Raw genomic sequence first — 23,605 nt, forward strand, 5'->3', positions numbered from 1 at the left:
CAGAGGTTGCAGTGTGCCGAGACTGTGCCACTGCACTCCAGTCTGAGTGATAGAGCAAGACTCTGTCTTAAAAAAAAAAAAAGCCATAATATTCTCTCAGTAAAGAAAGCCCAGAACCTGATGGCTTCACTGCTGAATTCTACCAAATGCTTGAAGAAGAACTGATACCAAACCTATTCAAACTATTCCAAAAAATAGATGAGAGAATACTTTTAAACTCATTCTATGAGACCAGTATTACCCTGTTATGGAAACAAAGATATATCAAGTAAAGAAAAATACAGGCCAATATATCTGATGAGTATTGACTCAAAAATCTTCTACAAAAATACTAGCAAACCGAATTCAACAATACATTAGAGGCCAAGCGTGGTGGCTCACACCTGTAATCCCAGAACTTTGGGAGGCTGAGGCAGGTGGATCACCTGAGGTCAGGAGTTTGAGACCAGCCTGACCAACAGGGCGAAACCCTGTCTCTACTAAAAACTCAAAATTAGCCAGGTGTGGTGGTGCATGCCTGTAATCGCAGTTACTTGGGAAGCTGAGGCAGGAGAATCGCTTGAATCTGGGAGGTGGAGGTTGCAGTGAGCCAAGACTGCACCATTGCACTCCAGCCTGGACAACAACAGTGAAACTCTGTCTCAAAAGAAAAAAAAATACATTAGAAAGGTCATTTATCATGACCAAGTAAAAAATATTCCTGGGATGCAAGGATGGCTCAACATGTGCAAACCAATGTGGTATACCAACAGAATGAAGGATAAATACCATATGATTATTTTAATTGGTGTTGAAAAAGCATTCATCCTTTCATGAGAAAAATATTCAAAACACTGGAGATAGAAGGAAGATACCTTAACATGATACAAGCCATATATGACAGACCCACAGCTAGTATCATACGGAATGGGGAAAATTAGAAAGGCTTTCCTCTAAGATCTGAAACATAACAAGGATGCCCACTGTCACCACTGTTATTCAACATCGTACTGGAAGTCCCAGCTACAACTATCAGACAACAGAAAAAAATAAAGAGCATCCAAATTGGAAAAGAAGAAGTGAAATTATTGTGTTTGCAGATGATATGATCTTATATTTGGAAAAACTATAAGACTCAAAAAGAAACTTATTAGAACTGATAAACAAATTCAGTCAAATTGCAGAATACAAAATCTACATACGTACATCAGCAGCGTTTTTTAAATACCAACAGTAAACAATGTGAAAAGGAAATTAAAAAAATCCCATTTACAATAGCCACACACAAAATTAAGTACTAGGAATTCACTTAACAAAAGAAGTGAAAGATTTCTTTAATGAAAACTATAAAATACTGATGAAAGAAATTGAAGAGGACATCAAAAAATGAGAAACTATTCCATGTTCATGGATTGGAAGAATCAACACTGTTAAAATGTCCATACTACCCAAAGCAATCTACGGATTCAATGAAATCTTCATCAAATTACCAATAACATTCTTCACAGAAATACAATGAACAATCCTGAAATTTATATGGAACCACAAAAGACCCAGAATAGCCAAAGCTATTCTAAGCAAAAAGAACAACTGGAGGAATCACATTACCTGACTTCCAATTATACTACAGGACTACAGTGATCAAAACTAGCATAAAATACATGCACATAGACCAATAGAACAGAATAGAGGACGCAGAAACAAATTCATCTATAGTGAACTAATTTTTGACAAGGCTGCCAGGAACACACACTGGGGAAAAGACAGTCTCTTTAATTAATGGTGTTAGAAAACTGGATTTCCATATTCAAAGAATGAAACTAGAGCCCTATCTCTCCCCACATAAAAAATCAAATCAAAATATATTAAAGCCTTAAATCTAAGACCTGAATCTGTGAAACTACTACAAGAAAACATGGAAGGAAAATCTCCAGGACATTGGTCTGGGCAAAAATTTATTGAGTAATAACCCACAAGCACAGGCAACCAAAGCAAAAATGGAGAAATGGGATCACATCAAGCTGAAATGCTTCTACACAGCAAAAAATACAGTCAGCATAGTGAAGAGACAACCCACAGAATGGGAGATAATTGCAAACTACTCATCTGACAAAGAATTAATAACCAGAATATATCAGAAGCTCAAACAACTATACAAAAAAAAAAAACAACTAATAATGTGATCAAAAATTGGCAAAAGATTTGAATAGACATTTCTCAAAAGAAGACACACAAAGGGCAAACAGGCTCAACATCACTGGTCATCAGAAAAATGCAAATCAGTGCGATGTCATCTCACCCCAGTTAAAATGGCTCATATCCAAAATACAGGCAATAACAAACACTGGCAAAGATGCGGAGAAAAGGGAACCCTGTACATTGTTGGTGAGAATGTAAATTACGCAGTCACTTTGGAGAACAGTTTGGAGGTTCCTCAAAAGACTAAACGTTGAGCTACCATTATGATCCAGCAACCCACAGCTGGGTATATACCCAAAAGAAAGGAAATCTGTATATTGAGGAGATATCTGCACTCCTATATTTGTTGCAGCTGTATTTACAATAGCTAAGATTTGGAAGCAACATAAGGGTACATCAACAGATTAGTGGATAAAGAAAATGTGGCAAGTATACACAATGGAGCAATGGAGTACTATTCAGCCATATAAAAGAATGACATATAGTTATTTGCAACAACATGGATGGAACTGGAGATCATTATGTTAATTGAAATAAGCCAGGCATAGAAAGAAAAACAGCACATGTTCTTAATTATTTGTGGAATCTAAAAATCAAAACAATTGAACTCATGGACAGAGAGAGTAGAATGATGGTTACTGAAGGCTTGGAAGGGTAGTGCAGTGTGGGTGCTGTGGGTGAGGTGGGGATAGTTAATGGGCACAAAAAATTAGAAAGAATATAGAAGACCTACTATTTGATAGCACAATAGGATGACTATAGGCAATAATAAATTTTTTGTACATTTTAAAATAACTTAAAGAGTGTAATTGGATTGTTTGTTACTCCAAGGAAAAATACTTGAGGGGATGGATACTTCATTCTCCATGACATGATTATTTCATATTGCCTGCTGTATCAAAACATCTCATGTACCCCACAAAGATACAAACCTACTATGTATCCACAGAAGTTAAACATAAAAATTTTTAAAAAAGAAATAAAATGCTCAAAGAATACATGTAAGATAAGTACAAATAAAACTGCATTAGATATATCATTGTCAAATTAGTGAACAACAAGTTTAAAGGAAAAATATCCTTAAAAAATAAATAGTTGGCCAGGCGCAGTGGCTCACACCTGTAATCCCAGCACTTTGGGAGGCCGAGGCTGGCAAACCACTTGAGGTCAGGAGTTTGGGACCAGCCTGGCAAACATGGTGAAACCCCATCTCTACTAAAAATACAAAAATTAGCTGGTCATGGTGGCGGGCCCTGTAATCCCAGCTACTTGTGAAGCTGAGGCAGGGGAATCACTTGAACCCGGGAGGTGGAGGTTGTAGTGAGCCAAGATCGTGCCATTGCACTCCAACCTGAGTCACAGAGCAAGACTCCATCTCAAAAATAAATAAATTAATTAAATAAACTGAGTTAAAAGACGCTTTACATTTACGTTTACAAGAGAACAACAACAGCAAAAAAGATGGTTGACATCTCATCAGAAACAATGCAAGCCAAAAGATAATAGAATGCCAACTTTAAAGTGATGAGAGAAAAATAAAAATAAAAATAGCTGTCAACTAGATTTCTACACCAAGTGAAAGTATCCTCAAAAATAAAGACAAAAGGAAGACATTTTCAAACAAAAGCTAAAAGAATTTGTTGTCAGCAAACTCAAAGTGTAAGAAATTCTAAAGGCAAATACTGAGTAGTTTAAAGTTCAGTACTGATTATTCCTTGAATATACAACTGAATTCAGTAATGCTAGATATTGTCATTGTTGTTTATGTAATGCTAAACATGAAAGCCACTAAATTATTACTCTTGACACAGAAACTTATGACCTATTAATTTATATTATCTCATAAATTTGTTTCTGTGCTTAAGCCCAGATGAAAGCTGTCCAGGTAAAGGCCCAGGGGATCAAGAACTTTAAATTAGGTGAAGACAGTCCTGACCTAAAGTCATTTGGTATGAAATACAATAAAATCTGATCCATCAGCAGAACAGAAGAACGCCAGCATATGTGCATCTTCTCCATTCATCAGCCAAGTTCTATTTTTAATTCTACAGATATTGTTTTGTTGCTATTATACACATAGGTGTTAGTTTCTAGCCACACTGTCATGTAAGTTCATTGCTGCAGTCTCTTTCCCTGGTTTTCAGTTTATATTTTTAGTTCCATGGTGACAAGCTAGCAATATCTTGTGAGAAACTAAGGTAAGTCAAGATTCTCACTATTCATTACCATTTGAAATTCAATTTTCAACCCTTCTAGCTTAGGGAAATTTTTAAAATGAATAAAATGACCTCTAGGAAAGATAGACAAGGTCAGACAAGGTCATTCAAATCAATCCTTGTACTGATGACAACTAGAACCACTAACTGGCTTTCTTACTTTCTCTCTCTCTCAATTTGTGTGTGTGTGTGTGTGTGTGTGGTGTGTGCATGTGTGTGTGGTGTGTGCTCTGTGCGTGTGTGTGTGTGTGTGTGTCCGTGTATAATCCTCTTTGTAGGCATCAGAGAATTACCAGAGCTGGAAAAAATTGTGGGTCAAGAGCTAAGAGAAAAAGGAAGTCCTTCTGGGGCCACTTATTATTTAGGAATACTGCTAATTTTGAAAGCAGGAGCTGAGAAACCAAGATGCTGAGGAGTACTTTTAACAGACTTTCAGGACTGGGTGTGGGGCCAGGGATGAGGAAATTGACATTAGAGCCACTAGGATACCCCTGATAAAAGCCTCAGTGTTTTGTCAGTATGCCAAATGGCTACATTCAGGAAGAAGGATAAACAGGAAATAAGTTAGATCTCGTAACGATGAGAGTTTCAACTCATCTCAATTTATGACTGGATTAATGTAATCTGTGTTTGCAAATGCTCCTAGACACCAAACAGAATTTTTTTTTTTTTACTAGAGAAAGATAATACTGTTCAAAATTGCAATTTATTGCTAACATTTATGTCATAATGACTGGTAATAAAGTTAAAAAAAAAAAACCAGAAATGCGGGCATGTGAAGAGGCAAAGTAATCGAACCCAAACCATGATATGAAGAAACAGATCATAGAAATAATATCTTTAAGATTCTGAAAGATACTAGCTGCTAACCTAAAATTCTATTATTTAACAATAAAGGTAAAATGAAAACATTCAAAAACAAACCTTGAGGAAATGATACTACTGGTCCTGCACAAAAAGGGAAAAATATTTTCTTGAAGCATAAGTGAAATTACTCCAGATGCAAACCCAGAAAAAGGAAGAATAAAGAGTAATTGAATGATTTAAGATGTGGATAAATCTAAATTAATACTGACTATTTGAAATAATAGTTCGGTCTCTGGGGCTTAATACATATTTATAAATTGATTGGACAAAAAATAGCATTCAATCAGAAAAAGTGTAAATGAAATGAAAGTATACTAAAATCCTGATGCTGTCTAGGAAATTATAAACATAATTTATGTTAGATTGTATCAATCTTTAAATAATGGAAGAATAATAAAAGATTGTGTATATGAAAACCAACTGATATGAAGGGGAAATGGCACCAAAAATATGCAATCTATCTAGAAAAAAGAGTGAAGAGAAGAAAGTCAATATAGAAGAGATAAAAACAGAGAGATAAAGTAAAATGATAGACTTAAAGGTAAATATATTATACCCATATTAAATATGAATAGACTATTCCAGTACAAGGAAAAGGGTTATCAGACAATAAAAATTTGGGGAAAAGCCCTGCTATTTATGAGACATATCTTCCATAGAAAAATGCAGAAAAGTTGAAAGTAAATGGATGCAAAAAGACATACCCTTTATGATATCAAACCCTGATAAGAACATAAGATTTCAGGTTAATGTCGCTGATGAAAAAAGAAAAAACTGTAAAATACTATTATTTTAACTTTCATGAGTTTCCTCTCTCCGTTATGGACCAATTAAAACATTTTCAAATGCCAGCACTTGGAATTTACCCTTGCGTATTTTCTTAGGATGTATCCAGAAATATTTCTCTATGTACTCCCATTCCTAACATGGTCTTCATTCCTGGGTTCCTGAACCCTGTCTTCATACATGTGTACTGTTCCAGGGATTTATTTTTGATCTAATGGTATATATCACATGATGAGCATCTAATTTGGTTACCTTCCTTGACATTATGCTGGCCTCTGATAGTGACCAGGTGTTCCTGGTTCACTCATACACATGTAATTAATACACCTAGGTTCCTCATGTTGATATTTTGAGGTATTTTGTCTTTCTGTGTATCAAATGTTGCTTTTATTTCTGGCACTTTTGTTTTTCTTTTTTGTTGTTGTTGTTTAATAAGAAAATTGTACAGCATACTTTTCAGCACAACGTATTTATTTAGGGCAAAAAGTTGATAAAAACTACAAGTGGTAATAATCATTTAGTTACCATAAATGTTGTCTCTAGATAGTGTTAACTTGACTATATTTTAACAACCAAATTATTTCTCCCCAAAACAGATATAAACATTTTCAAAATTCAGTTAATCTTTGTGTAATTCATTCAAGGATTTTATAGCAGTTTTTGTAGTCTTTCATAATAACATTCCAGGGTTTCTTTAATAAATGTTCTTCTTGAACCAATGGTTCATAATTTCCTAAGGATTACAGAAAAAAAACAACTAAATGAATAACGAGATACCATGTATCTAGATAAAAAGATGAAATATTATAAAGATATGAGTGCTTCCCAAATTAATCTATGACCTTATTGCAATCTTAAAGAATATATCAGAAAGTTTGTTTTTTCATATCTGACAAAATTGTTCAGATAATTTTCTGGAGGATATATTTGAAGGATGTGAAACATTTGAAAAATTAACATTATGCCATATGTAAAAATTACTAAATAAATTAAATTAGAATTATATCAACAGCAAAGAAGAGAAAAACCAGAAACAGATAAAATTATATTTAATAATTGAGGATATAATAAATATCACATGCCAAATCCATGGAGAAAGAATTAAAGAGCATTTGGAAAACTTTTAATCATTGGGAAATAAAATTTGATTCCTATATCATATCATACATCAAAATTCTAGATGAATAAAAGATCTAAATAAAAACACTAGAATAAATATTAATGTTAATTCTGTTATTTGAAATAAAAAATTATGTATGATCTCACCAAAATAGAAAGTATGAAGGAAAAGATTGTCACATTTCACTATTAAAAATACCAAATAAAAAACCTTATCTTATTTGTAACATATATGAGGACAAAGAATCAGTATAATTAATATGTAAATATTTCTCACAAATCAAGAAAAAGTCACCAGTAACAAGTTGGACAAAGTGGGGAAAAGCAAAAATTAACCAAAAGAAGAAACACAGGAAAAAATTTCACATCATCAATAATTAATAAATACAAATTTAAACAATGAAATATAAATATTATCTTTCAAGCTAGAAATGACATCTAATGAGGCTCAGAATCTGGAGAAAATTACTTTTCACAATACCAGAGTAAGGTAAATCAGTATATTTTCTATGAAAGAATTGACGATACATATCACAAGGGTTAAAATATTTACCACTCTTTGATCTATCATAGGGAAACAATCATGAAAGTACAGAATATTTGGCTATGAGAATACACACTGTTTATGATAGTGAAAAATTGGAAGTACCTTAAAAAGACTACTTAAGCAACGTATGATAGACAGATTTAATGAACAGTATGCAGCCGTTAAAAATAAAACCCTGGATCATATTAATGGAATAAAACGTGATAAAATTTGTGCTAAGTCATATACAGTGTAACTACCCGAAAATATGGGCATGTGTCCAATTAGCAGTAGAAAAATTATGCATGTAATTTTTTTCCTTAATTTGCCTACCTGTTTTTCCTAATATATTAACACTTAACATATAAAATGGGGGGAAGTTATTGCTAAATTAATTATTAATATATGCCTTCTTCATAGAAAGTCTCAAATTTCCAAGTGGATAGTGTTTCTGTGTATCTATCTATGCTCTGTCGGAGTTTGGATAACAGTAGCTCTAATCTCAACTAAATCTTGCAGGATTTTATTTTTATCTTCCTGCCCACCAGAAACATATTTCTTTAAACAACCCAGTATATTTCCAAGTAACTTTTGTTGAATTTAACCTCCTTCAGTTTGCTTTTACCCTTAATACACTCAGTTTAATTCTCCTTATAGTAATAATAAATTCCCCAGTGGTAGATGATTGAGACAGCTTCCTTACACCACTTTTTATTCTCCTTTTAGTTTAACTGGAGACCTAGGCAGTGATTACAACCTTGAAAATTCCACAGCTTTTCTGTCACTTCAAGAGTGATGTTGTGTTCTTTAATGAGAGTATAAGATACTTGAGCACTGGAAATCTGCAATGCTTTTAGATCTTCTTGGCTAAGGACAACTGTGTTTTACAGGGAATGGACAAAGAAAGCAAGCAAAGAAAAGTCATAAAATCCATAAGAAAATGGCATTTATTCCCAAAATTAACAGAAAGAATATAAACCTCATTCTTTCATCCGTGCTACCCAGCTATATAATATGTGCTTACTGCATTTTTTCCTCTTTATCATGATTTCTTAGGTAATGTATCTCTCACCTCTGCTAAAAGTAAATGCTTTGTGATCAGAGCATTTGCTTTATTCATTGCTATAGTTTCAATCCCCACTTCCTCAGAGCATAGAGTGATCACTCAACCAATGAATGCATAAATGAATGTGTCAATTGATCATTCTAACACTGGCTCTACCACTTTCAACTCTATAACTTTAAGATGGTCATCTAGATCTTTGAGTTAATTTTCTCATTTCTGTAATAAAATATATTACCATATACTTCATGAGATTATAAAGATCAAATGAAGCAATTAGAACATCCTGTTTATTTGCAAAAAAAAAAAATCCTTTGTATTAGATGCTCAATAAATACACATAAGTGATTCCAATTCTAACATTAGTACTGAACCCAAACAAGGGTTTTTATGTATAAGAAACCCATTTTTTATGTATAAGAGACCTATTTTTTATGTATAAGAGACCCATTTGCAAAAAGTCTTACACAGGTTTAGGCAACATGCTTTCTCTTTATTCTTATTTTAACTTCCTTCACAACCATGCTATCACTGATGGTGCTATACTTTAAAATTTTCATAGAAATCATACACTCATTCCTAACATTTACATATAGAGCAATTTGGAAGTTTATCTCTTGTTTATTAGATTGTGATGTCATCCAGAACACGTTGTCTTGTTCGTATTTGTGTTCTCAAGATTAAATATAATCTGAGAAGATATTCCAAGGTTAGTGTTTAACACGTGTTAGTGCTTAATACAATTTTTTGAACGAAAAAAATGAAAAGGAATTAAGGAAAAGAACTTCCAAATGCTTCTCATCCCCTCCCCCAAAATATGGAATAAGTCTTGGTATAGTTTGTAGCATTAGAAATGTTATGAAAATAATTGATATGAGTTGTATGATTAAAGCTGACCCAACCAGTTTTCTAGGTTCTAGTTTCCTGGTCCTTGTCCTGGAACTAAACTTTGGTAGGTAGGAAGTATGTTCTAGTTATTCAATTTTACTATGTGGAAGGAAGACCATGGGATTTCAAATTAATTTTGACAGATATGACAAATGGGGGTTGCCATTTCACACCTAGAGCATGAATATTTCAATGGCAAAAAGTCAGCGACTGTTAATTAAAAATGGGTATTGTTAATTGGGACCAGTGTTGTGGTTTTGTCAGCAGCTTCAGACCCTTTCAGACCTATTTCAGTTGATCCTATGATCAGATAAGATAAATGTCTTTTCTTTCTGGTGTGGATGATAGCAATTATGACTCAGATTTTTTTCTTTTATCATATTGGTTTTATAGGTATATATAATTTAGCATAATGGAGAAACACACAAGAATTAAATTCAGCTGAATCCAAAATATCGAAACACAGCAATATTGTAGATACTAACTTCCCAATTTTCTGCAGTGTAAAGACAAGAAATAGCCCAGCAAACTGATGAAGCTATAATTTGAAGATTATTTCCTTCCTTCCTGTCTTTCTTTCTTTTTCTTTCTTTCTTTCTCTTTCTTGCTTGTTTGCTTGCTTGCTTCTTTCCTTCTTTCCCTCTTTCTCCTTCTTTCCCTCCCTTCCTTCCTTCCCTCCTGCCTTCCTTCCTTCCTTCCTTCCTTCCCTCCCTCCCTCCCTCCTTCCTTCCTTCCTTCTTTCCTTCCTTCTTTCCTTCTTTCCTTCTTTTTGTTTCTGACAGAGTCCAACTCTGTTGCCCAGGCTGGAGTGCAGTGGCATGATCTCGGCTCACTGCAACCTCCACCTCCTGGGTTCAAGCAATTCTCCTGTCTCAACCTCCCAAGTAGCTGGGATTACAGGTGTCCACCACCACACCTGGCTAATTATTGTATTTTTAGCAGAGACAGGGCTTCAACATGTTGGCCTTGTTGAAGGCTTGTCTCAAACTCCTGACCTCAGGTGATCCACCCACCTTGGCCTCCCAAAGTGCTGGGATTACAGGTGTGAGCCACCACGCTTGGCCTGGAAGATTCTTTTAACACCACAAAAGAAAAAAAAAGGAAAGAAATTTTAGTTAAAATGAGTTAAAATAAAAAATCATTTTCCTTTAGGCTATTCCAATCCATAAATGCTCAATTCTCCAATTTATTTTTTGCCTTCAAAATGTATAATTGACACAATGAAATATTCTAATGTACAAGTAGTAGTTTCCTTTGTACACAAAGAAGAAATAATTTTTAGAATAATTGTGTACTGGAACAGAATATCAACTAGTCTAATATTAACTCATTTCTCTCATTAACATCAATTTAGCAAAACAAAAAGGAAGCTTGGAAGTATATATTTGGATCTTAAATTTCATTTTAAAATTATTCTGTGGCTCTAGTAGGTTAACTGGAAGATTATCTCACAATATTTCTATGTCTCTAATGAGCATGAGGAAGCTAATGAGAGTGTGTTTATATAGGGGATGTTTGATGGCTGGGGTAAGGGGCGGGCGGGGCAACATGAAAAACTAGTTGCTCTAGACAGCTAGTCTTCTTCATTTGTTTCACTCAGAGGATTCTCTGATTCAATTATTTTAGGAGCCAATGACCAATATATTGCAGAAAGAAACACTCCAAAGCGACTCAGAGTGTGCACATTTGAAGACAAAACATTATTCCCTCTTATTGGCTAGATATTCATTTAAGCCAAGCAAATGTTATTAACATAGTGAAGCAATCAAGCTCAATGGTGCAAATGCTCAAAGAGGCCTTGCCTGGTCTACTCTAAATCAGGTAAATCTCTCTTAATTATCTTTCATAGACCCTTTTAAATATCTTTCACAAAATTGTTCACAATTTTTAATTACACACACACATCATATATATGGAAAGAAAAAAATATATATATATAATGCTGAAAGCTCTGTAAGATAAAGTAACGCATCCCTTTTATTTATGCATATGCCTGTGTATAACCAGTACTTGCATGGTATCTGGTGCAGAGTTGTTGTTCAGAACATTATATGTTTATTCAGCAAGTATAAATGAAAGAATGAAACAATGAGAGTTCTGAGATTTTATGTTAGCCTGAGAAACCTGAAAGGCATAAATTAGTATTATCACTGTCATTATTTTCTCATAACTATTACCTAAATCATCATAAAAATTATACAAATATGGAAACTATGGAAGAAACTCCTATTTAGAGGCATTTGACTTATATTTCAATCAATGTAGAAATGGGTACTCTTGAAATTCTTAAAATTTTTATTTACGTATCTACACCAAAACAAAATGAAACAAAGTGCTAATATAATGAGCAAATGAAGAACATTCTTATAATAAATATTAGAATCAATTTCTCTGATTATTTGTGGTAATGTACTTATATTTAAATTATGGTCTCTATATATCTCTCTTATACACACACATACACACACTCACAAAAAGCACCGTTATTTTCATTTTACTCTTTTTCAGCTAATAAGCATCAAATACAAAGGTCCTTCCAGATGGACCTTAGGCACATTACAACCTCCTGAAGTCATCAGAATGATATTGCTAATGTCTGACCTAAAATTTCCAGTCCTAGGGTTGTGTATGTTGTTAAATTCCCACTCAATCTCTGGCATTCTGGAGTTGCTAGCACTGCTGCCTGGATGCAAAAGTGACTTTTATCAATCTTAAGATTTTTTTGCTAGAAAACCATTAATTCATTTTATATCCGCTACTGACAGCTATCAAATAATAATAACAATAGGTCTACATCAGGCTGGTTTGTATTCAATCTTTTCATCTATGAGGGAAAGATTCCATCTCTATTACCAATGCCCTGAGCCAAAAGAAATCCCAAAGTAGATTTACTCATAACTGAACCTTGGTGACCAGAAATATGCTAATAAACGTTAAACTGGAAAGGTAGGATTTCATAAAGCTTTTGTCTCTAATCCTCCAAGTAGGGAAGTTGGTTCTGCTGCAGAGTTAATTAGCATACATGTGGAAGCAGTTTATGGATGCGGTTTAATCCCAAACAAATGTGAAAATAAGCTCACATTGTTTTGTAGAATGATTTACATTCATTATCATCTACTTAAAAAAAACCCACATGCTTTAAAAAAATCATTATTCCTTCCAGAATATCAGTGAATAAAGCAATTCCATATTTGTACTTTTGAAAATTATGTATTTCCAGACAAGGTCATATTTCCTCAAATTGAAATAAAGTATAAACTTTGGTCTCAAGCTATGGTTTCCAAACTTTATCCAGGTACAGAGACATTACTGAGTGACATAGGACTTATGAAGTGAGTTAACAGATTTAATTGACTAGACATCATAGAAAACCAAACTTTTTTTACTAGTTCCTATGAAAGATATTTTGGAACTTCATTATATGAGATCTCTGTAAAAGTCTCATGATGGAAATAGTGCTAATACTCATATTACTCTGATCATGAAATAACAAGTCTGATATTTCAATATGGGTTATAAAACTGTCTCATGGTTTGTGATCATGGTTTCAGGGGACACAGTTTCACCAGAGGTATAGTTGTAACTTACAGTTGTAATGATGAATAATATTATAAAGAAGTTTGACAAACTGGGAATCTAACATCAAAATGAATATACTATAAACAGTTGGCTGCCTCAGGATTTACCTGAAATAATCCAATTGGGATTATCAGAAGGAAAATGGAACCTCTTCACTCTCGGTCTTCTTGAACTATTGTACTAAAAACAATGCCAAAACTCAAGTGACCTATAGACATGGTATTGAGGCAATAGTTAACTCAGAGATTCCATTTGTAAAACACTAGATCAACTTACATATGGTTCAAGTATAAGCCTTTATTCAATCCACAAATATTTAGGGTACCTACTGTGTGCCAGGCACGTGACTAAAGCCTATCATGCAGGGGTGAATGAGAAGGTTAGTGTTCCTGTTATTCAGAGGGTTATGGCCTCATGGGGAAAATAGTTATGTAATATGGAAACTGTTAACTGTGAAATAAACTTTATGATAAGAAAATTATAGGGTCATCATAATCTACTGGAGAGCCATGTAACTTTGGGAGATGGTGGCAAGTGCATCAGGAATGATTTGTCAAGGTAACTAATTTGAGAATGAATGGAATGCACAGAAGATAACTAGGGGAAGAAGAGAGGGTGTCTTCTGAATAGACTCTTTCTGGGAATGGAAAGTATTCGCTATGGCTGGAATTTCAAGTTTGAATGAGAGAGGTTGGTAATGCAGGATGCTGGAGAGATAAGTAGGGGTCAGTCCTGGAGGCATATTAAAGACTTTCAATTCTATCTTTTGTCTTAACCTCTTGCCTACACTGATGCTATGCTACTGTAATATTTATTGACTGTTTCACTATATGTCAAACAGTGCATTTAGCACATTGCTGAATGTTAAAATTACTCATCTTCTCAAGTAGAATTTTTGAAATAATAGATCTGTCTTAGACCCAATGAAAAGGTGTTGGTTATAGAAGATTCAAAACAAGGCACCTATAATTTCTTAGTTTCAATACTATTTGTTCCCACAATATAGACCCATAGGAGTCTATTGGAGTATATTGCTAGTGTTCAAAGGTACAGTGCCAGCCCAAATTTTATCATGTTTCAATATAAAAATACACCAAACCAATACTCCAGTAATTCCATTTAAATTTTATTTTCCTTGGCAGACAGCTAGGTCATGGTTGCTTTTTGTTAGGACTTACATCAGGGTGGACTTAGAATGGGCACATGAATGTAAATAAGCATGATATGTGTAGGGAAGGGAGAAATTATGCAGCAACTACACTATTTATTTGACTTTTGAAAACTTCATTTACTGAACCCAGCATGAGTTTTTGCAGTCAGACTTGGAATTTAAGTGTTTCATTTCAATGCCATGCTTCTCCTCAGATTGCGCTTTCTTTGCCCTATCATGAGAACACTGGGGATGCCATGCATCCTCATGCTTACGGAAGTGGAATAGAGCAAGCAAATAAAGTTATATGCTAAGGATTGTTTTGTAGAGAATTATGGTTCAAACTGTGTTATTATAAGGGTCAATGTGAGATTTTTAAGAATACTCTAATCCCTTGAATCTCTTCTAAGTGAGGTCAGTATAAAAGAAGAAAGTCTGCTTTTATTCAAACCTTATGAGTGTTCTTACGGTTGTATGAAAACAGCTGAGTTTTGTGAAGACAGATTCCTACCAAAGGATTCATGTGTAATATTTTTCTTTCATTGCTCCCCCTCTCAAGCAGCGGAACGAGAGCTTCTGAGAAATCTCCCCTCACTTGTCCTGGATTTTCAATCTCTGTATTTCTTTTCAGGGTGGAACTGAGTATTTCCGAAATTGCACAGACAATAGAGACATCATTATTTGGGTGGCACCAACTAATACATCAAGATTTTTTCTTTTTGGAGCCAGTAGCATCTCAGTTCCTTGATTATTTCCCCAATCATTTTGCAGACTCTAATGTTATACATGACACATCTATTTCTTTGTTGTTTCTTTCCTTCTGATGTTCTATAAATTCTCTTTATTAAAGAGAACATCCTCAGATAAAAATTTAGAAGGATATCTCTGAGAATTAACTTTTACCTGACTTTAAGAACACTTTACATCAATAACAAATCTGTGGCAATTTTCTCTTTTCTTACCTTCCTAAGTAGGAGGGAAACACCTGTTTCAAATTCAACAATAATTTGTATGATGAATTTTCATTTAATTTAGACTAGAACATTAAGTTGATTTCCCTTTTACTCCTTGAATGTGAAAATCCCTTGGAACTTCTAAAACGAGTTATTTTTATTGGTAAAAATCGATGAGGGAGGTGTTTTTGCCACAAGGCTATATAAAGTAACTTTTATTTCTTTTCCTTTTACTCATTTTTTACCACTATGACTCAAAGGAAAATACACCACTCCTGATACACATAAACCAAGAGAAACAAAATACAATATTTATGTGTATATCTTTCTCATTGAACTTCACATTGCTAGAAGTATTTTTCTAAAGACAATGTAAACATGTCATTTCACTACTAAAAATTTTTTAGTAGATAATATCAATTGCTTTAAGAATAAAACAATTTTTAAAATAATTATATGAAAAAAGTTCTCAATCCAGTCTAATAATAAAGAGAAATATTAATAATAATTAACATTTATGTGAAGCCACTCCTCTAAGTACTTAAAATGAGTACAGTATAAAATGCTTCTATATTCAAGAAAGAAGGCTAATTGCACTTTAGTCATAATAACAAGTATCCACTAGAGTCAGTTTTAAGTCCATCCTAACCTGTCAATTTTACATCAGTAACCATGCTAATGCTAATGAAAAGCAATAAATATAGCCACGTCATTTCAGTGACCATGTTTCCAAGAATCAACCAAGCATCAAAAGCCACACTGCAGTATTCACCCTTCCATGGCTAACACTCATCCCAAACACTCTAGCTTCTGTAAATTTGCCAATCTCTGAGATCCATACTTCCTGGAAGCCCTCATTATTTGCTCAGGGAGACTATATTTTATAAAACTCATTCTTCTTTGATTACCAAGCAATAACTTCATTTTTTTTTTTAGATGTGGCCTGATGGCCTCTTCTTTCAACAGGACTAATTTGTTTAATCATCATACTAGTGCTGTGAAGTAGTAATGTTATTGTACCCATTTTACAAATACAGAAATGAAGTTAAATAAATATTCAGTAACTTGCCCAACATCACTAAACAAATAAAGAGTGAAGGAGAATTTGAATCTAGAAAATGTGGTTCCTGAGCACATTCTTACAGCCACTATTTCATATGGCCTCTCCTAATATCTTCCTTACGTGCTAACTCTTCATCTTCACTTCTCAACCCTCTCTAACATGCACTACTCGCTCCTGCAGTACTTGCAGCTCCCTGAATGCTCCATATCTGCCCTTTCCTCTGATTTCTTTTACAGGTCATTCCCTCAACAAGAACAAAACCCCTTCCCACCTCAATTATGCCTAGGGCAATACTCATCCTTCATTAACTTTTACATTTAATCTGAGAGACCTCTAAGAGTGTCCTCCTTTTACAGATGTAAAATTGAAATTTAAAGGGATAAATAATGTGCCTACAGTCACACAGTCAACAAGTAATAACAGCAGCACTTGACTACATTAATGCTGACTCACAGTCCTATTGCTTCTCATAGGAAATATTTCCTGCCATCTTCATCATTTGATTCCTCTTCTGAAAACCCTCTCCAAATTCACAATCCTCCACTTCTATTTTGCCCTCAAAATAAAACATACTAAAGGCCCGACTAAAGCAACACCAAGTGGAAGACTTCCTACTTATCCATTTCCCCCTGAAAACAGCCCTATGTTTTTTTATTCATGGTAATATTGCAGATGTGATGATGATATTCAAGTCTAATTTAACAGTCTGGAGATGACATCTGCAGCCCAGTTACCACACTGGCAGAGCTGGTGCTCAATAAATCATTGGTATTAATTGTTACCTGCATCTTGCATTTAAATTATTTTGCCTATATTAATTATTTCATTAGTGGTTCCTATTTAGTATATACCCATGGATTTCTATTACTATGCTACTTTGAGTTGTAATCTGGTCTCTCTTACCTTCCCTCTCTAAACCTTGGAATTTCAAATCCACAAAATCGAAATAATAACATGTTTGTCTCAGAGGTGGTTTTGAAGAGTAAATATGGTAATTCACACAATGTGCTTAGCACAATCACTGATACTTGCACACCCCCAAGAAATGGGGGCTTCAGTGTCTTATTTTAATCATGTCTATTATCTCTCACTAAATATGATATGCTTTAAATAGTACTAACAAGTTTTTTTTTAAGGGGCTTGCTTTCGAATCAGTTGTTTTCATGCTGGTGGAAGGCAACCCATACCAAAAAGGGAGTGCTTTTTAAAAGTAACAAATTGGTTGAATAAACATTAGTTCTTGACTATTGATACAGTTTGGATCTGTGTCCCTGCCCCAATCTCCTGTTGAATTGTATCACCAGTGTTGGAGTGTTGGAGTGGAGCCTGGTGGGAGGTGATTGAATCATCGGGGCAGATTTCCCCCTTGGTACTGTCCATGTGATAGTGAGCTCTCATGAGATTTTGTTGTTTAAAAATGTGTGGCACCCCCCTACACACCTCTCTTCCTCCTGCTCTGGCCATGTAAGATGTGCCTGTTTTCCCTTCACGTTCTGCTATGACTGTAAGTTTCCTGAGGCCTCCCCAGAAGCAGAAGCCACTATACTTCCTGTGCAGCCTGCAGAACCACAAGGAAATTAAGCCTCTTCTTTCTAAATTATCCAGTCTCAGGTATTTCTGCATAGCAGTATGAGAATAGACTAATACAGCTATATAAGTAATCACATGAAAATAAATTACACAAAAGTGGAATAGGATCTTTGCCACTAGTTGTGCAACAAAAAAAATCCTTCATAACTAAACCACCTCATGTCCACTTCCTACACACAACTTCCAAATTAATCTTTCTAAGGTATGACTTGGACAATGATTCCTCTCCTTATAAACTTGCAGGAGCTCTATTTCCTACCAAATATGGCTGAAATTTATCACCTGAGCACTTGTCCCTTGACACATTATCCTTATGTTGTTGCCCATTACTTCCCATCAAGGGTTCAACATCCTCACGCACTTGAAGGACCTACTTTTCCCTATAGATTCACCATGATTTGTACCTGCTTGCCTTTCTCTATATTGCTCTAGATACCACTAAAGCCTTTTATCACCTCTCTCCACAGCCAAAGTGTATCTTTTAGGGTCTAGCACAACTGTAGGAAGTCTTCACAGGAACTGGAAGTAATCTTTCTTGCCTGATATACTACTCTCTTAATTCTCTTACCTCCGGCCTTATAGTACAATACACTTAATTGTGTGATTTATTCTATGGGACTATAAATTATTTAACTTAGAAATCCATGCCTTTTTAAACATTCTATCATACTCAATACTAAATACTACTTCAAACTCTGTAGGTGCTCAATACATTTTTGTGATCTATCAATTTATATTTGCATATCATAAATTAGAAGTCCAGGGATCTCTCAAAATTTTTTCATTTCATGATTATTTTAAGATATACTGAGCTATATTTTTAAGTGCACAATTTCAGCCTTCAATGCAGATGCAGAAAAGCATTGAATAGCATAAATCCAAAATCAAAATTTAGTTTAGCACTTGACTTACATCTACCGATACATTTTAAAAATATACATGGGAGGGTATTCCCAAACTTTAACACATCCAGACTTCATCATAGGTACTTTGAAAACATATAGTAAAAACATGATTTTGATTCAAAAATTCAAATTTTTGGTAATAAAGACCTACAACCATAGGTACCTACTATGTATCTACGATCTGTTTGTTTCACAATAAGTTTTAGTAATAATTTATTAAGTAAATTTATTACAATTCTTTAAAAATACTGGAAGTATACTATTAGAAATTTTTCTGATGATACATTCAAAGATTACCTTCAATTACAAATTTTAGTTTTCCCATTTGCCTTTTCTAGCTTATTTTTAAAATAAATTATATAATGAATAATATTTTAAATCTGCTTATTTCAACAATTGAGCCAAATCCAAACTGTTCTGTAGGGAGCAATCACTTAACCTGAGAGCTAACATTATAATTTGTTCTCAAAACCAACATTAAAAATCAATTAATATTATCAGAATTTCATGGCCATGAATTTCCCTGCCACATAGGGACTCACATGTGCACTGAAGTTTAATGGGATCCTGAAAAAGATCTAAAAAAGTACAATGGAACAATGTAAAAGACTTTCAGAAGAAAGTAATTACTTTTCTCCAAATGAAGTGTAAAGTAAGCACGCCGAAAACAAATTTCTTCTGGTTGAATGGGTTCCTAATTAAAAGTAATTAAGTATATCTATATGGTGCCTTTGTGGTTACAAATAATTGTCTCATTGTAAATACTCAAATGCTGAGAATCTGGCCCCAAGTTTGAATGAGCCAAGTTTAATTTTCAACTGGACATGAGCACATTATGGTCCTGGGTATATAGTCAGAGAAGAAACTCCATTAGAATTCATCCACTACCAATCACAGAATATCACCACCTACCTGCATTATTCTTCAAGGCCATTTTCTCTATGATCCTGGCTTAGGAAGAAAATAGACCATGTAAATCTGGTCTCCTCAAGAAAATCTGACCTATGAGGGATTTGTGTTTATTGTGGATGAAACTTTTTTTTTTTTTTGAGAGACAGGGTCTCACTCTGTCACCCAGGATGGAGTGCAGTGGTGTGATCATAGTTCATTGCCACCCGAATCTCCTAGGCTCAAATGATCCTCCCACCTCAGCCTCCCCAGTAGCTGGGATTAGAGGCATGCACCAGCACACCTGGCTAATTTTTCAAAAAAATTTTGGGTAGAGACGATGTCTTGCCATGTTGTCCAGGCTCTTCTCCACTCCTGAACTCAAGAGATCCTCCTGCCTCAGCCTCCCAAAGTGCTGGGATTACAGACATGAGCCAGTATGTAGGCATAGAACAGAGAGTATTGATGATGTCTATCACCTAGGCATTGGCTCAATCCCTTCCCATCCCTGGATATTTCTCTACCTTCCTAGCTACTTCTCACTTCAGTTATTGCTTGCTTAATACTCTATGCTATTATCCTTCACCTCCATGGATGTTTCCTTCTCTTTGTTTCATGTCAATTTGTTGAAGGATCACTTCCATTTTTCCCTTTCTTTATTTTCCATAAAATACTACCTATGCAAGGTGTTTTGTGTGAATGTGGCAGATTTTACTGAATGTTGTAGAGAAGCAGTCTTTGTATTGTAACCATCCAAAGAAAACTAAATAGTAAATAGCTTTGTTAGTAAAAGAAGAGAAGTTTTGTGGCATGTTGTATTTTTGAACCATTCTCTTTCTCCTTTCCTTCCTCTATGATCCTTTTTTTTCAGCCCCTCATATTCCTATTCACTTATTAGTATGGTAGATAGGCCATCTTTTTGTGTTTTTTAGCTCTATTAATCACATTCCCTTAAAGTTTGACTTAAAACCTCAGGCTACATTACCATTTGAAAACATTTATCAAAGTATTACCATAAACTAAGAAAAAACAAATCAAGATAAGCCAAAGTTTTATCTCTCCCCAAGAGGAATCTTGATGCCAACTGTCAAGGTTGTTTTAAATCTTATAGTCTTTGAACACTCCTCAGCAACACTCCTGAACATGTGTTATCTGGAGATCGTATCCCAGAATCTTTAGATTGAGGTATAACTAAGCATGACCTCTGGGTGTCAAATAAGGTGATAGTCTCAGCCAGTTATGGTTTACTCTTGTCTGCTTCTTCCCTCCAAAAGAGGAGAAATTTCTTCCTTTCATTGAGTTCTCATCTTGGCAACTTGTGTTCCGCATACTGTTACTTTTTTTTTTTTCTTTTTTTAAGACAGAGTCTCACTCTGTTGCCCGGGCTGGAGTGCAGTGCCATGATCTCGGCTCACTGCAACCTCCCCGTCTTGGGTTCAAGCAATTCTCCTGCCTCAGCCTCCCAAGTAGCTGGGATTACAGGCGCCTGCCACCACACCTGGCTAATTTTTTGTATTTTTAGTAGAAATGGGGTGTCACCATGTTTGTCAGGCTGGTCTCGAACTTCTGACCTCGTGATCCAGCCGCCTCGGCCTCCCAAAGTACTGAGATTACAGGCATGAGCCACCCCGCCTGGCCATACTGTTATTTTTAGGTAGATATCTATTTTCTCCCTATTAATGGCTATATCACCTTATTCTTACCTTTGGAACAAATCCCCATTTGACTCTATTCCAGAATAGAAGAACATCACTTCATTGGGATGAGACAAACAACTTACTTGAAGAAAACAAAAAGCTAACTCCTTCTTTTTCTTGCTTTCTCTATCAGGAATAGAAAAATTATGATTTAAAAAAAATCAGCAAGAACTTGTTCTTATTGCATTTCATGCTATTTCTGAGTTTGTGAGCTCTCAGCAGCCTTCCATGGTGTCAACCCATTATATACCTTTAAAAAAAAAACTGCCTCCATTAAACTTTAAGCTGTCAAGGATTACAACGAAAAGATGCAATTTTTTTCACTGCAGGAAAGGTCTGATTTAGTAACAAGCTATAAGCTAACAGAGCAGCAGAATCCACATATAATGTTCCATTGAAAGGAAAAAAAAAGTGCTGCTTTTTTGTGTCCTTCATCCTTGTTTTTTTTCTTTTTATATTAAAAAATATGTGGTCCATTTAGCTTTCGAATACAATAGAGACTACAAATTGTGTTCCTCTTACATTTGTGGCTACGAATCTTGGTGTTCAAACACATATAGACGTGCAATTCGTTTACATGCCTCCTATATTGGAAGGGACACCATCGAGAAAAAAAAATTGTTAGTCCACATTGCCGTCTAGCTTACGTGTTTAATGTTGATTTCATTAGTCATTTAATTCCAAACACCTTTATTATCTACTTGTTTGAAAAGCCTATTTATTTTCACCACAATGCATACATTAAAACAAGTGACTGAATAGAAAGCCAGGCTTGTGGCCTGGTGCTTTCTTGGTGCAGAAATGATATACTCCTCCCCCACTTTAGCTCCAGCATCACAATGTCAAACATTCCACACATTCCCTAAGGAATCTGCAAGGCTAATTAGGGTGAGCTTCACCATAAAGAATACAGTTGTTAAAACAGCTTCTGTACACACTAGAGTAATGAGCATTCTTTACACATGCTGTGATGTGTTACTGCAATTTGCAGTCATATATCTCTTAGGAAATAACTCATATGTTGTTATTTATTGCATGTATGATTATTAATGATATATTAACAACTGTTGAAAGCAACTTATTTCACCTCAATAACTCATGTACTTAGCTCTATGTTTAAAGAGCCAAGGAAGCATCACTTTTTTTCCAGAAAGCTATGCTTTTTCTTTTCTTTGTGTTTTTCTCCAAGATGATAAAGAAAACGTCCAAAGTCTTATGAATAAGAAAGATGTTATTAACTTTTCTTAAGAGTGATTTTATTATCTGTTACAGAAGAGTATTTTTTTAGAGTTGAGTCATTTACAATTTTTGAATCTCTCATAAATGCAATTCCTATAATAAACTGTCTAATAATATAAAATCAAATACTGTGAAATACTGTGTGTTAATTATTATTAGTGACTTGAGTAGAAACAGCCTCATGTACAAAGCTAATTTTTAAATTAATGTTGCTAGAAGAAATATGTTGCTGCTAGTCAAATTCAGTCCAAATATAGAGTTACCTAAATACTTGAAAATGCTGTGTTGGTAATTTATCTTGCATTAAATATACAAGGGAGGTTAAGCTTTTGACTTAAATATTATGTGTGAGACATTGCACCATTCAGAATTGATGAAAACTGAGCTCCTTACTGCTTCACTTTCCACACTGACAGATTTTTACCAATTAACTACTACCCAAATGTCTTCTGATAATTGGAATATAGAAACAAGCGAGGTTGTGTTCCAGAAATTAGAAATACAGCATTAGATCTACACTTTAATGGATCTTTGAGGCACTATGGGAAAATTTCAGGATCTAAACACCTGTTTTGGCTTACCTGAAATCATGGGTGCTGAGTGCTTGCATCCCTGCAGGAATCTTTTCCAGAGATATAAATTGCTTTACAAGTGTGGTATATTTCCAGAGAAACAAAAGATTCTGCCTTTTGAAATATTCAGAAATCTGAAGAAAGCCCTGTACTGAGGGTTCATTACCAAATAGTCAGATAATGTTGTAGATCTACACAATATTAGAGGCAAATAAAAGATTAATTTGGCTTTGATGATCAGAAAGAATGACTGTTGACACAAAGTGATGCCATCTGATGAGACAGCACCTTAGGTTGCTAATTACTTAGGTTTATAAAATCATTTC

General features: G+C 34.6%; 1 long non-coding RNA gene across 2 annotated transcripts in view, besides 1 other annotated feature; it reads left to right on the plus strand.

Moving 5' to 3' along the window:
- Positions 1-23,605, plus strand: part of LINC02161 (long intergenic non-protein coding RNA 2161) — a 213,063-nt gene that overhangs the window by 100,476 nt on the left and 88,982 nt on the right. The window contains exon 1 of one of the 2 annotated variants that reach the window (XR_948557.3): positions 4,307-4,376. The exons of the other annotated variant lie outside the window; for it this stretch is intronic. This is a non-coding gene — a long non-coding RNA (long intergenic non-protein coding RNA 2161). Of the gene's footprint in view, positions 1-4,306; positions 4,377-23,605 lie in introns of those variants that run through there. 2 annotated transcript variants of the gene reach the window in all.
- Positions 20,729-21,679: an enhancer, noted in NCBI's record as "NANOG-H3K27ac-H3K4me1 hESC enhancer chr5:88998238-88999188 (GRCh37/hg19 assembly coordinates)". NCBI's record gives its function as "activates a minimal SCP1, AML or CMV promoter by ChIP-STARR-seq in naive H9 embryonic stem cells {active_cell/tissue: H9 hESC(naive)}" and the evidence as "EXISTENCE:reporter gene assay evidence [ECO:0000049][PMID:30033119]".

The sequence above is a fragment of the Homo sapiens genome, chromosome 5 (genome assembly GCF_000001405.40).
Source record: "Homo sapiens chromosome 5, GRCh38.p14 Primary Assembly".
Taxonomy (NCBI): Eukaryota; Metazoa; Chordata; class Mammalia; order Primates; family Hominidae; genus Homo; species Homo sapiens.